Source organism: Homo sapiens, chromosome 13 (genome assembly GCF_000001405.40).
Source record: "Homo sapiens chromosome 13, GRCh38.p14 Primary Assembly".
Lineage (NCBI taxonomy): Eukaryota > Metazoa > Chordata > Mammalia > Primates > Hominidae > Homo > Homo sapiens.
In genome coordinates, this window is record NC_000013.11 from 19227483 (window position 1) to 19243815 (window position 16333).

A 16333-nucleotide genomic window follows, 5' to 3' on the forward strand; every position below is an offset into this window, starting at 1 on the left:
CAACAAATGAGAACAACAAGCACTTACAATGTCCAAGACACCGTGTGAGACACCGTGTCTACATGAATTACCTCGTGACAATATTGTGATTACAGGCCTGAGTTTAAGAACTGCCCAAGAATGTTCAACTAATAATGGAACAATAATTCAAACTTACACAATCTGATGCTACAACCTGCATTCTCCTAATTATTACCTGCAAAATTTCTGCTTTGGGAGGTTTCATTTTCTGGTTTTCAGTCAATGAAATATTTTACAAAGGAAAGTCTGGAACATATGAATTAACTGTCTGGATCAGATGTTTTTACTAGTAAAACCAGCTAGATTTTATTGAGTGTTATGTGCCAATTAATTGGGTAGGCCCCAAAAATCAAGGCCTAACTTACTACCATTGTAGTTAATTATTTAATACCTCTTTCCCTTGATAGACTATAAACTCAATTGATGACATCAAATGTGGCTGTTAAATGCTGTACCTCAAGTACCTAGAGTGCAGTATATACATTTAATATATATTTCTTGAATGAATAAATTAGTAAACAAATTACCAAATAAAAGGGTATGAATGTATTTGAAAGTATTCATTTTTTTCATATATACATGTACGTGTATATGTAAATATTTATTTTAGAGACATATAAAAAATATGACTGATCTCAAACTCCTGGCCTTAAGTAATCTTCATTCTTCAGCCTCCAAAAGTGCCAAAACTACAGGTGCAAGACACCACACCTGGTCCCCAATCAATTTTCTATTTTCACTTTTAAGAATTTTTGTTGTTGTTGCTTTGGGTTTTTCGAGACAGGGTCTTGCTCAGTTTCCCAGGCTGGAGTGTAGTGGCACAGTTAAGACTCACTGCCAAGACCAGGCATGGTGGCTCACGCTTGTAATCTCAGCACTTTGGGTGGCCGAGGTGGGCAGATCACAAGGTCAGGAGTTCAAGACCAGCCTGTCCAACATGGCGAAACCCCATCTCTACTAAAAATACAAAAACTAGCTGGGAGTGGTGGCAGGCACCTGTAATCCCAGCTACTCAGGAGGCTAAGGCAGGAGAATCGCTTGAACCTGGGAGGCAGAGGTTGCAGTGAGCCGAGATCCTGCCATTGCACTCCAGCCTGGGCAACAAGAGTAAGACACCGTCTCAAAAAAAAAAAAAAAGAAAAAAAAAAGGCTCACTGCCGAATCAACCTCCCAGGCTTAAGCAATCCTCCCACCTGAGGCTGCAGAGCACCTAAGACTACAAGGGCATGCCACCATGACTGGCTTATTTTTGTATTTTTTGTAGAGATGAGGTACCAGTATGTTGCCCAGGCTGGTCTCAAACTCCTGGAAGCAATGCTTCTGCCTCCCAAAGTGCTGGGATTACAGGTGGGAGCCATCACACCCAGCCAACTTTCAAGAAATTTTTGCATAAATATGTTCAATTAGTCTCACCTATAACAGCCTGTATTTAAAAGTACTCATGGGAAAACAATTCCCACTCCATGAATAAAAGCATAGATACCTTGCTATAAATGTAAATTTTAACTTTTATTTTGGGGTAGGGAGGTGAGGAGGGGTGGGTATGACAAATCTAGGAGAGAAGAAGGCTGTCACAGAGGGAAAGATGTAATAACAAGAGAGGGAAAGATATTCAGAAGCATGTGAAGAAAAACCAAAGACAGCCATGATCCTAGGGACTCTATATCTGAAAACCCTACCTGGATTTTTCTCTGTTTAAAGCACCAACTGGTAAGTGGGAAAGAGTGGGAGAATCTACCAACCACTAATTTTCCTAAAAGAATTGTTTATTAGTCAGCAGTTCCGAAGTCAAAGATTGACTATATTTTTAAATTATTTGTTTTCTCCCACAGGAAAAAAACACTGAAATAACATGCTTTTTTGAACTTGCAAGTGAATTTGAATCTTGGCTCTTATGCTTTGTGAACATTTTCTTTTTTCTTTTTCTTTTTCTTTTTCTTTTTTTTTTTTTTTTTTTTTTTGAGACAGAGTTTCATTCTTGTCGCCCAGGCTGGAATGCAATGACGCGATCTCGATTCACTGCAACTTCCGCCTCCCGGGTTCAAGCGATTCTCCTGCCTCAGCCTCCCAAGTAGCTAGGAGGGTTACAGGCACCTACCACCACACCCAGCTAATTTTTTGTATTTTCAGTAGAGACGGAGTTTCACCATGTTAGCCAGGCTGGTCTCCAGCTCCCGATCTCAGGTGATCCACCCACTTTGGCCTCCCAAAGTGCAGGGATTACAGGTGTGAGGCACTGCACCCGGCCCTGTAAGCATTTTCTTCTGGGAATAAATCTTTAGTAATAAAAGTGGGAATATAACTAACTCTTTTTTGGGGGGCGGGGTGGGGGGCAGGGGACAGAGTCTTGCTCTGTCGCCCAGACTGGAGTGCAGTGGTGCTGTGTTGGCTCCACCTCCCGGGTTCAAGCAGTTCTGCTGCCTCAGCCTCCTGAGTAGCTGGGATTACAGGTGTGTGCCACCGCATCTGGCTAATTTTTATAGTTTTAGTAGAGATGGGGTTTCACCATGTTGGCTGGGGTGGTCTTGAACTCCTGACCTCAGGTGATCTACCCACCTCGGCCTCCCAAAGTGCTGGGATTACAGGCATGAGTCACCGCGCCCAGCCATAACTAGCTCTTATTAAGGTTTGCTGAGATCATTAACTATATAAACAAATGTTGTCTATAAAGTCTATTCTTGTAACAACCTTGTACTTCTAGTTCTCTAACTCCCAAATCCAAACGTATGCTCTATTTCAAATTTGTAATGGTGACCTATAACAAGGAAAAAGTTAAGTGAAGAGGAAATCACAGGAACCCTTCAAACAATGGCACTGTGGCCAGGTGCAGTGCCTCACACCTGTAAACCCAACACTTTGAGAGGCCAATGCGGGCAGATTGCTTGAGCCCAGGAGTTCAAGACCACACTGAGCAACATGATGATAACTTATAAAAAAATTTAAAAATTAGACGGGCATGGTGGCCCACATCTGTAGTCCCAGCTGCTTGGGGGGTGCTGAGGTGGATCACTTGAGACCAGGAGGTAGAGGCTGCAGTGAGCCATGACCATGCCATTGCACTGCAGTCTGGGCAACAGAGCCAGACCCTGTCTTAAAAAAAAAAAAAAAAAAGCTAGAAATAGCATTGTAAAGGGAGTAAGAATAGATATTAATTAGGCCGAGTGTGGTGGCTCATGCCTGACTTTGGGAGGCCGAGGCAGGTGACAAGGTCAGGAGTTCCAGACCAACCTGGCCAACATAGTGAAACCCTGTCTCTACTAAAAATACAAACATTAGCTGGGCATGGTTGCATGTGCCTGTAGTTCCAGCTACTTGGGAGGCTGAGGCAGGAGAATCATTTGAACCTGGGAGGCAGAGGTGGTGAGCCGAGATGGTGCCACTGCACTCCATCCTGGGCAACAAGAGCGAAACTCCATCAAAAAAAAAAAAAGATAGATATGAATTACAATCAATGCTAATGCTAATGCTTCCTCCCTGAAATACTCTCCTCCCTTGCTTCCAGGACACAGTCTGATGGTTCTTCCCCCTATTCCAATGAATGAATGCTCCCTTCTCAGTTGTTATTGATTCCTTCTGATCTTCCCAATCTCTACACACTAAAGAACTCCAAGGTTCAAGGTTTGGTCCTTTGACTTTAAAATATCATGTTCATAAATCCAGCCAGGACAGTTGCTCTAAATCCTAGGTATAAATCCAACAACCTGCTTGACTACACTGCTAGCACCTAGAACAGTGGCTAACACAAAGGCACTCCAAGTTTTATTTATGTAATAAACAAGTGAACCAGGTGCAGTGGCTCACACCTGTAATCCCAGCACCTTGGGAGGCTGAGGTGGGTGGATCATCTGAGGTCAGGAGTTCAAGACCAGCCTGGCCAATACGGTAAAACCTCATCTCTGTGACAGACCATATGTTAGGCCATAGTAAAGGGCTCTACAAATTTTAAAACCTCAAAATCATATACAGTATCTTCTCAGACCACAAGAGAATTATAGATATCAATAACAAGAGCAACTTTATAAACTGTACAGTTACATGGAAATTAAACATGCTTATGAATGAATACTGGGTCAATGAAGAAATTAAGAAGAAAATAAAAAAAGTCTTCAATGAAAGCAAATAAAAATGAAACACAAAATACCAAAACCTATGGGATACAGCAAGAGCAGTGTTAAGAGGAAAATTTATATCAACAAACACCTATATCAAAAGGCTAAAAAGCCTTCAAATAAACAACCTAATGATTCACCTAAAGAAACTAGAAAAGCCTCATGCCTGTAATCCCAGCACTTTGGGAGGTCGAGATGGGTGGATCAGCTGAGGTCGGGAGTACGAGACCAGCCTGACCAACATGGAGAAACCCTGTCTCTACTAAAAATACAAAATTAGCCAGGCGTGGTGGTACATGCCTGTAATCCCAGCTACTTGGGAGGCTGAGGCAGGAGAATCGCTTGAACACGGGAGGCAGAAGTTGCAGTGAGCTGAGATCGTGCCATTGCACTCCAGCCTGGGCAACAAGAGCAAAACTCTGTCTCAAAAAAAAAAAAAAAAAGAAGAAGAAGAAGAAGAAGAAAAGCAAGAACAAAGCAAACTCAAAATTTGTAGAAGGAAAGACATAGTAAAGAGCAGAACAGAATGAAATAGAGGCAAACAAAAAATACAAAGCATCAACCAAATGAATTGTTTTTCAAAAGATAAAGAAAACTAGTAAACTGCTACTTATACTAAATAAGAAAAACAGAGAAGAGACCCAAGTAAATAAAACCAGAAACAAAACAGGAGATTTTGCAACTGATACCATAGAAATAGAAATGATTATTAGAGACATTTATGAAAAACTATATGACAACAAATTGGAAAACCTAGAGGAAACTGATAAATTCCTGGACACATTAACTTACAGGATTTGACACGGAAAATCTAGAAGACCTGATCAGAGGAATCACAGGTAATGAGATTGAACCAGTAATAAGAAGTTCACAAAAAAGTCCCAAACCAGATTATCTTTACTGCCAAATTCTACTAATTCTTTACATTAAAACTAATACCAATTCTTCTCAAACGATTCCAAAATCTTCCTAGTTTATTCTATAAGGTCAGTTTTACCCTGACACTAAGGCTAGACAAGAACACCTCAAAAAAAAAAAAAAGAAAGAAAGAAGAAAGAAAGAAAGAAAGAAAGAAAGAAAGAAAGAAAGAAAGAAAGAAAGAAAGAAAACTACCGGCCAATATCCCTGGTGAATATAGATGCAAAAACCCTCCACAAAATACTAGTAAACTGAATCCAATAACACAAAAAAATGAATACACCATGATAAGTTGAGACTTCTTCCTGGGATGTAAGGATGGCTCAATATATTCAAATCAATACATCTGCTAAATCTCATTAACAGAATAAAGGGGAAAACACACAGAAGTATCTCCACAAATGCAGAAAAGCATTTGATAAGATTCAACATACTTTCATCAGAAAAACTCTCACAAATCAGGCATACAAGGAACAATCTTCAACATAATAAAGGTCACGTATGACAAAGCCACAGCTTACATCATACTGAATAGAGAAAAGCTGAAAGCCTTTCTTCTTAGAACTGGAACAAGACAAGGATACCCACTTTCACCATTCATATGCAACACAGTACTAGAAGTCCTAGCCAGAGCAAGTGGGCAAGAGAAAGAAATAAAGGGCATCCACATTGGAAAAAAAGGAAGTCAAATGGTCCCTCTTCATAGATGACCTCATCTCACAGAAAAATAAACCTAAAGATGCTACCAAAAAAGACTTCAGACAGACACACAAATTAGCAAAGTTGCAGGATACCAAATCAGCATACAAAAATCAATCGTGTTTCTATACACCAATAATGAACTAGCTGAACAACTATCAAGAAAGCACTCTCACTTAAAATAGCAACAAAAAGATCAAATATCTAGTAATAAATTTAACCAAGGAGAAGAAAGACCTCTACGGGGAACACTAAACAATACTAATAAAAGAAATTAGAAAAGATACAAACAAATGGACAGACATCCCATGGTCGTGAATTGGAAGAAATCATACTGTTAAAATAACCATACAACCCAAAGCAATCTACAGATTCAATGCAATCCTTATCAGAATAATGTTGTTTTTCTCATAAATGCAAAAAACAATCCTAAAATTTGTATGGAACCTAAAAATGATTCCGAATAGCCAAACCACTCCTGAGCAAAAAGAAAGAAGCTGAAGAAATCACATTACCTGATTTCGAAATATGTTAAGAGGCAATATACTCAAAACAACATAGTGTTGATATGAAAAGAAATACACCAGTGAAACAGAACTGAAAACTGAGAAATAAATCCAGGTATTTACAGCCAACTGATTTTAAACAAAGGCACCGAGAAGATACACTGGGGAAAGAACACCATTTTCAATAAATGGTGCTGGGAAAACTGGATATCCATAGGCAGAATAATGAAACTGGGTCCTTACCTCTCACCATATACAAAATGCACTCCGAATGGGTGCATTCAACATTATAAAATTACTAGAAGAAAACTCAGGATAAATGCTTCAGAACATTGGTCTAGACAATGATTTTATGGCTAAGACTTCGAAAGCACAGGCAAAAACCCCCAAATAGACCATTGAGACTACAGTGGAATAAAAACCTGCAAACAAAGAAAACAACCAACAGAGCAAAGAGGCAATCTGAAGAACAGGTATAAGTATTTTCGAATGAGTCATCCAACAAGGGACTAACATCCAGGATATACAAGAATCTCAAACAGCAGTAAAAAACAAATAATCTAATTAAAGATTAAATCAAGGATCTGAAGAGACATTTGTCAAAAGAACATGTACAAATGGCTAACAAATGGGTGAAAAAATATCCAACATCACTAATTATCAGGAAAATGCAAATCAAAACCACTATGTGATACCATCTCACATGTGTCAGAATGGCTATCACTGAAAAGTAAAAAATAACAGATTCTGGTGAGGCTAAAGAAAAAAAGGGAATGCTTAGACACTACTTGTGAGAATGTAAGTTAGTTCAGCCACAATGAAAAGCAGTTTGGTGATTTCTCAAAGAACTTAGAACTACCATTTGACCCAGCAATCTCATTATTGGGTATATACCCAAAAGAAAATAAATTGTTCTACCATAAAGACACATGTATGTGTATGTTCCTTGCAACACTATTCACAATAGCAAAGACATAAAATCAATCTAAATGCCCATCAATGACAGAGTGGATAAAGAAAATGTGATACACATACACCATGGAATCCTTTGCAGCCATTATAAAGAATGAGATAATACTCTTCACAGCAACATGGATGGAGATGGAGGCCATTATTCTAAGTGAACACACACAGGAGCAGAAAACCAAACGTCGCATGTTCTCACTTCTAAGTAGGAGCTAAACACTGAGTACACGTGGACAAAAAGAAAGGAACAATAGACACCAGGGCCTACTTGAGGCTGGAGGGTAAGATGAGGATAAGCATTGAAAACCTACCTATCAAATTCTATGCTTATTACCTAGGTGACAAAATAATCTGTACATCAAACCCCTGCAACACAGAAGTTATCTGTAGAACCAACCTGCACATGGACCACTGAAAGGAAAATAAAAGATAAAAGATTATATTTTAAAAAGAGTCCCCAGGAACCTAGCTCCCCAGGTACATTTTATCCAGGTGGTCTTCAGGTCTGTCTGTAGGTTTGTGTAGATTTGGCTACAAATGGCCAGAATAGGCTTACTCAAGACCGGGTAGACATCAGCATCTGGGCCCATTTTTCTGACCCTCCAAAAGGCCCCAATAACCCTCAGTGCACATCTCCATGGCCTGGCTGTCCTACCTTCCCAGTATCAGGTTCTGTCTCCCACACTTGCAATGTCCCCAACATATCCTGAGACCAATGTCCCCAAAATATCCTCAGACCAAGCCTTGCTGCCTCTCCATTGTCTGCCCCATCATTGGTGTCCAATCAAAACCATCTCTCCTGACTTACAGGTTCAGGATAGGTGGACAGCTTTCCCACCAAGGAATGTTAGTCCTTTGGCTTTGTCTGTTTGAAATTGCTGGCCTGCTCTTTGCCAGGGGAATACGGTCCCATAGAACTTGCCGGGAAGAACTCCAGCGGCCTTTTGTTGTCACTTCAGTTACAGGAGAGGACCCAGTTACAGGAGAGGACCCAAAGGCCGGCCAGAAAGCTTGCAGAGCTTCAGGCCTTTGGCCAGATGTTTGGCCTGTGGCCTCAGGGCTCTTTGTATGTCTAAGGCTTTCATGTGCACAATACACATCCATCGTGCTGAAGCCACCCCACCACACAAGGTAGGCACTAGTTTTCACACTAGGATCATCCATCCACCTGGGTAGGCAGTGTCCAACAGTCTGCTTTAGACATGAGGTTCATGCATTTATTTAATTTTATCTCATTTTATGTATTCTTTTGCCTGTCATCTTCTTTGGAGTCCAGAAGTGTTCATCAAGCCAGCTTCCCTTTGTCCCATGCTTCTCGTGCTTATCAAGGAGACCACAGGGAAAATATTTTTTACAGTATGTTTTTAATTCAGGCATTCTTCAGATGTGTGAATGTTTTGTTTGTTTGTTTGTTTGTTTTTTGGATTTAGTTGTGAACAGCCCGCATAGACTTGCTCAAGACTCAGTAGCCTTCAACACCTGTGACAATTTTTCTGGCCTCCAAAAGGCCCCAGTGGCCCTCACTGCAGCCCTGCGATGGCCTGGCTGTTCTTCCATACTGGGACCACATTCTGCCATCCACACTCTCAATGCCTGCAAGGACTCAGACCTAGCTTTTTTCCTCTCCACGGAAAGCCTGTTCTCCATCCACACAAACTGAAACACCTCTGTCTGCACACACCTCAGATGTTCAAAAGAAGAGTACCTGTCCTGACTGAAAGGGAGAAGTGAACGGCCTTTCCACTGTGGGATGATGGCCCTTTAAATGAGTCTCGTTAATATCTCTGGCCTGGTAGTTTTACTAATTTGTGTTTTCCTCTTGATTGTAAATGCCTACTCATTCAAGACACCATCTTTTTTTTTTTTTTTTTTTTGAGACAGAGTCTCACTCTCTCGCCTAGGCTGGAGTACAGTGGCATGATCTTGGCTCACTGCAAGCTCCGCCTCCCAAGTTCAAGCAATTCTCGTGCCTCAGCCTCCTGAGCAGCTGAGATCACAGGCTTGCGCCACCACACTTGGCAAATTTTTTGTATTTTTAGTAGAGACGGGGTTTCACCATGATGGCCAGGCTGGTCTTGAACTCCTGACCTCAAGTGATCGACCTGTCTTGGCCTCCCAAAGTGTTGGGATTACAGGCATGAGCCACCGTGCTGGGCCCATCCCCATCTTAATGAATGCCATGGAGAGCAGATCTTTGCTTTCTTTATATCATGGTCACTTCTCTCTGACATATTGCAAACAATGTAAAGTCAAGGGAGTTTAGACATCACCTATTTCCATGGCTGTGAAAACTAAAAGAGACACCGGTCATTTCAAGCCTTCTGTGCCCAGAATGCAGTGCTGTTCCAGGTGTTCTGGGCCACTGAGCTCCCTGAGGAAGAAGCTGCATCCGGCTAACAGGCTACAACCCCTCTGGACCAGTCTTGCAAAGGGAGGGATGCCCAGCTGCCATGCCAGCACAGGAACTCATACCATAGTCTTCTCAGTGTTCTGAGAGTGGGGGCTCCTCCCGTGCTTGAGCTCAGGCCACAGACCTCAGCCCAATACCCCTACACAGTGTGCTTGACTCCTGGGGCATTGAGACAAAGCCTGCAGTTTTGTGTTTGGCCCCTTGTGGTTGAACAGTGACCATCCAAGGGTCCAAACTGCTCCCAGGCCTTTGGTAAAAATGCTCAGGCTGGGCAGTGGAGGCTGTGCTGTGGGGTGAGGATGTGGAGAAAACAGAATCCTCATAGTTAGTGGAAATGTAAATGAGTACAATCACCATGGATAATAGTGTGGAGGTTCCTAAGAAAGCCCTAAGCCTAGAACTACCATATGATCCAGCAATCACACTGCTAGGTATATACCCCAAAGAAAGGAAATCAGTATATCAAAGAGATATGTGCACATTTATGTTTATCGCAGCATTATTCACAATAGCTAAGATGTGGAAGCAATCTAGGTGCCCATCAACAGACGAATGGATTTTTGAAATGTGGCGCACATACACAACGAACTACTATTCAGCCATAAGAAGAATCAGATTCTGTGATTTGCAACAATACAGATGGAACTGAAGGACATTATGTTAAATGAAATAAGCCAGGCACAGAAAGACAGACTTATCATGTTCTCATTCATTTGTGAGAGCTAAAAATTAAGACACTTGTACTCGTGGAGGTAGAGAGTAGAATGATGGTTATCAGAGGCTGGGAAGTGGGGAGGGGGTTGGGGAGAAGTAAGGACGGTTAGTGAGTATAAAAATGTAGTTACATAGAATAAGATCTGCTTTATAGCACAGCAGGTAACTACAGTCAACAGTGATTTATAGTACATTTAAAAATAACTAAAAGAGTGTAATCGGAACGTTTATAACACAAAGAAATGATAAATGTTTGAGGTGATGAATTTAGCCTGATGTGATTACAATGCATTGTATGCTTCTATCAAAGCATCTCCTGTAGTCCATAAATACATACACCTACTATGTACCCACAAAAATTAAATTAAGAAAAAGAAATAGAGTACAAGAGATAGAGGTTACAAGTTAGACTACTTTGAATATACTTGTTTTACAGATTGATTTTGAAATTACGTAAATATTCCACATAATCATAAGACAAAATTAAATCTAAAAGAGTAATCGCTATGACTTGAAAGTAAAATAAACTCATACCCACTTGATGTCATAAGTCCTCACAGAGGGTCTATTCCTTGTGCTTTTATTTAAACACATAACAATCTGGAGAAAATGTCTAAACTGTTCATAGTAATTATATGTTGTAGTATTGATATTTTGAGACTCATGCATGTATTATGGATAAATCAAAATATTAGGATGATATCACTAAGACAAAAACAAAAATCTCAACAGAATTAAACTAGAAATTGATAAAACAAAGGTAGCTGGAAAATCCCCAAATACTTGGGAATTAAGGAGCACACTTCTAATAACACATGGGTGAAAGAAGAAATCTCAAGAGAAAATTTAATGAAAATGAAAACACAACTTTTCAAAAATTGTAGGAAGTAGAAAAAGCAGTACCTCATGAGAAATGTAGAGCAGGGAATGCATATATTAAAGAAGAAAGTTTTAACACCAATAATCTAAACTTCCACAGCACAAAAAGGGAAAAGAAGAGCAAATAAAATTTAAAGCAAGCAGAAGAAAAGAAATAATTAAATTTAGAAGAGACACATTACAATTCAAAACAGGAAATCAAGAGAGAAAACAAAAGCTAGTTATTTGAAGAGGTCAAAAAAACCAGTAAGCTAACTTAGAAAAAAAGAGAGAGGACACAGATTACTATTGTCAGAAATGAAACATCACTACATCACTTGTTCACCTCCTCCATGGACACTAGGGTCAGTTTCTGGAGATTCATTTCCCCGGCTTCATACTGGGGCAGAATTTCACCAATAGGCCTGGCTAGATATTCTGGGGGCCTCTCTAACCTTTGTGGGGATACATCTTCTCTGGTCTTGTGCATGTAATTTTCCAGTTCCAGAGGTTTGCCACTTTTTCAGAATCTCATAATCTCTTGCTCCTTCTGGTGTCTGCCTGCACACAGGCTCTCTGGTACTGCAACAAGATACTGAACTCTCTGTTCTCCATGGCCACCAGTTATTCAAAGTAGGTGGATTTTCTGTCAGCACTCCACGTCATACAACACACAATCCAGTCCCTCAGGTAGCCCCTGAAAAGTCAGAATGTTACCCTTAGATTCCCTTCTTAACTTCTATTCCTGAGGGAGAAGCCAAGAGTTGAACATGTTCTCCTGATCAAACCAAACTATGCCCACTTGAGGAAAGGGCTATATCATGGGTAAAATGCAACATCTTTTCTCACCCATTCGAATGCAGCTGTTCTTGGTTTTGCACTGGCCTGGGTTACTGCTGGTTTCTGGAGCCTCCTAAAGTCTTGCAGGTTGCAGTCAAGATGTCAGCCAGGGCTACAGTCATCTCGCAGGTGGAGCGTTCACTTCCAAGATGACTCAGTCATGTGCCTTTGGCTGAAGGCCTGTCAGTTCCTTGCCACATGTATCTCCCTGCAAAGCTGCCTGAAAGTCCGCACCGCATAGCAGCTGGCTTTTGCTAGAGCTGTTGATCAGAGAGAGGGAGAGAGAGTTAAAGAGGTGGAGGAGGAGGAAGAGGAGGAAACAATGGTGCCTTTTATTAACTAGCTTTCTTCTTTTATTTTCTTTCACCATCATGTTCATCTCTGATATTGTCTAGTCTTCCAACATACACATTGTCACATCCACATCCACTTTCTCTGTTCATTAGAAATGTGCTCATAAGTCTAGCCCATATTCAAGGGGAGAAGTATTAGGCTTTACCTCTCAAAGGGGAAAAAAATGAAATAATTTTAACATATTTAATAATACATTTTAACATTACCACAAATATAAAACTTTAGTCATGAACACATTTCAATTTTTTCCTATTCTTATGCATTATCAAATGATTTATATATTCGCAGAATGTCCAAAGGTTTGGCTGATTTTTAATACATACTTGTTTTGTTATCTTAACATCAATAAGGTAATCTAAAGTGTGTACTTGTAAATTATCATCTAGGCAATCCTTGGATTCCTGTCTTCTTTCGAGTTTTCTCTGTGACTGAAGAAAACAAGAGTTAGTTGTTTTAAATAAAGGTGGTAATTAACATAAATAATTAAGAATATAGTTGTATACTAATTACAAAACTTTAATATGTAAACAGTCAAAGGTAATGGTAAAAGAAGATGGTTTACTAAAGGGAGTAATTTAAACATAACAATGTATTTTTATTTAAATTCAGGTAAGATGAATCATATCTTAAAATTAAAATCCAACTTTTAAATTCATTATCCACTTACGTTCTTATGAGTTTATACATGTCTGAACATATATAATTGTCTACTAAAATAAATTTTGTAATTTCTGTGTAGATGAATAAGAAATATGGAAAGCTCAATGTTAGTGATTTTATTCATTTCTAATAGTCTGATTTATAAAACCTTAACTAAAAATTATTATATGAAGTATATATAAAATGAGTAGATGTAGACTTGGGGTTTTCTTTTGTATTGTGACCAAACTATTATGTGCTCAGATAAAAGAGATCCCCATTTAACAACAAAATAGTATGGCAACTCTGTTGACTTCTGATAATCTCTTAAATGGCTTTGAAAAATATGTTTTTTACTTTCTAAAATGAGTAAAGATCATTGCTACTGATTATTTTGAAATATTACTCATAATAACTGCTTTTTGTTTATGCAACTATGACTTATATCATGACTGCCCCACCTAACAATTATTCTTAACTTTGTGTTTCCTGTATTTGGCCCTAAATTTTCAAAAGTAAAATCACCCAAATGTCTTTTATGCTTATAATATCATTGGATTTGCTGAAATGACCACTGGGTGGCACAAAATTTTGCTCTTTTGCCTTATAAATAGAATGAATAAGAAAATAATTAGATGTGTTTTGGCATTTTCCAAATTTAATAAGTTTAAAATTATCATAAACACTCTTCTTTTTACTTTTAAAAATTTAAGATGTATCCTAAAAAGGAACATCAAGCTTAATCCATTTTATTCCTGAGTTCTACCAGAGTTCAAGAAAGAAATCATACATTACTTTAATTTTAAGAATACAGAAAAAGATGAAGCATTTTTAAACTCATGCGAAAAGACTAACATGACCATGACTGCAGATAAAGCAAGTATTCAAAATATCAATAGCTTTCCTTACTTTGCCATAACAAATCACAAAAGAAGATTACAATCACAATAGGAAAAAGTAGTTATTAAATTTATAGAAATGGACTAAAAATAAATAAGATGCACTCACTTAAGCAAACTGCAAATCTTTTAAGAAAAATCTAAATCTAAATCCTGGGTGAGAAACATTTTTAAAAAATGGAGATAATCTTAGTCCCGAAATTTCTATCTAAAAAGATGGAAATTTCAGGGAGTCAGAGGAAAAGGGTGGATTGGAGACAGGACCAACCTGCAGGTCCCACTTGGATGGACAGAATAGTGTGTAGAAAATCACACTGTGAACTTTTGCTCCAAGAACAACTTCAGAAAAGAATTCACAGACCCTTTGAAAGCAGCATCTTGCTGCTGCAAACTCCATGAGATGGCTGAAAACCTGTGAGCTCCCAAAGTGTGAGAAGGGGAAAAGTCAGCCTCTGAACACACATCCTCACTGGGGAACCTGAAAATGCAGGTCATGAAAGAAGGATCTGACCTTACCTATAGCTGAAATGGATTTAGGTAGCTAAGTGAAATATACAAGTAGAAGAAGCAGCAGGGAGAGCCCTGTAGGCACTCCCTGTCCCCAGCTTAAGACCAGGGAAGCCATTCCTGGCCATGTCTCACAGGGATCCTTGGGGAAGGCAGCCAGCAAAACTCGGGAGGGGCACAGAGTGAAGGACACTCCTAATTGAACTGACAATAATTTCCACTGAGCAAAAATTTTCTTGAGCAGAATTGGGGTGGGGGAGCAAACAGGAAGTGCAGATACCAGCATAGAAGTTGCAGCCAAAGGTGCAGGCAGGTGGGGAGAGGTGAGGCCTGGGAGCCATGCTTGCTTTCTCAGTGGGGAGGCTTGTAGCCTGGGGCAAGATTTCAGCCCTGCTTGCGGCTGCCTGGATGTAAACTCAGTGCTGTGAGTGGGGCACAGCGAGAGTGAGATGGCCTTGCTGGCTGCGTGGGAGCTGGGTGAAGCCTGTCACTGCCAGCTTTCCTCCACTTCCAGGCAACCTTTATGATGTAGCAGAGGCAGCCATAATCCCCCTAAGAACATAACTCCACTGGCCTGGGAACCACACCCCCATCTGCCACAGTGGCAGCAGCAAGCACCATCCAAGGAGAGTCTGAGCTCAGACCCACCTAACTGTGCCCTCACCTGATGGTTTTTCTCTACCCACCCCGATAGCCAAAGACAAATGACATAAACTCTTGGGAGCTCTATGGCCCCACCCATCACCTAAGAAACCCGAGTACTTATCCTGGCCAATCTAGGGCAAGCTTATATCCCCTTTCTTCTACCACAGCTGGTGCTCTCTTCCAAGTGCCACCTGCCAGTTGAAGGCCAACCAACTCAAGCTATTACAGCAACTCATACGAGAACAATCCTGCTCCAAAGAAGCTAACCAGAGCTGTGTCCCCAATCAGCTTCACTCCTAGCATAACCAGCATTCAATAAAGCCAGGGCACTAAACAAAACTACAACCAAGGACTCCCACAGAGTCTGCTTCACTCCCCTGCCACCTCCACTGAAGCAGGTGCTGTTATCCACGGGTGGGAGACTCGAAGACAAATCACACCACAGGACTCTGCAGACATCCCCAGTACCACCATGGAGGCTGGTAGCACTGCTGGGTAGCTAGACCCAGAAGGACAATAACAATCACTGAAGTCTGGCTCTCAGGAAGCTCCATCCCTAGAAAAAGGAGGAGAATACCACATCAAAGGATCACCCTGTGGGGGAAAAAAATCTGAACAACCACCCTTGAGTTCCAGATCTTTTCACTGAAACAGTCTACACAAATAAAAAAAAATCAGAAAAGTAATTCTGGTAATATGACAAATCAAGGTTCTATAACACCCCAAAAAGATCACACTAGCTCTCCAGCAATGGATGCAAACCAAGAAGAAATCTCTGAATTGCCAAATAAAGAATTCAGAAAGTTAATTATTAAGCTACTCAAGGAAGCACCAGAGAAAGGTAAAAACCAACTTAAAGAAATTTAAAAAACAAGCTCTGAGGGAAAAATGGCAGATGGGAAGCAGGACTAGATTCCAGCTCCCACTCAGATAGAGAGCAGTGTGTGGAGACTTGCATCATGAATTTTTGCTCCAGAACTACTGCAGGAGTAATTCACGAAAGTCAAGAAAACCCACAGACCTTCTGAAAAAAGTGGATTGCTCCTGCAGGACCAGGAAAACAACCCAAATACTGTAAGTGCCAAGCTTTGAAAGTGAAAAAGGGGGAGCATCTGCCCCTGAACACATACCCTCACTGGGAAACCTGAAGGTCTAGATCATAGGAGAAGGATCTGATCTTACCTGGGGCTGAGTCAATTTAGAGATCTGAGCAAAACACAGAGGTAGATGAAGCAGCAGAAAAAGCTC

General features: G+C 40.3%; 1 long non-coding RNA gene across 4 annotated transcripts in view; it reads right to left on the reverse strand.

Moving 5' to 3' along the window:
- LOC124900335 (uncharacterized) overlaps positions 1-16333 on the reverse strand; it is a 42489-nt gene extending 26156 nt beyond the window's left edge. Inside the window, exon 1 of one of the 4 annotated variants that reach the window (XR_007063709.1) lies at positions 12051-16333. This is a non-coding gene — a long non-coding RNA (uncharacterized LOC124900335). The remainder of the gene's footprint in view (positions 1-12050) is intronic. The other 3 variants (XR_007063708.1, XR_007063707.1, XR_007063706.1) reach the window with 3 other exon arrangements.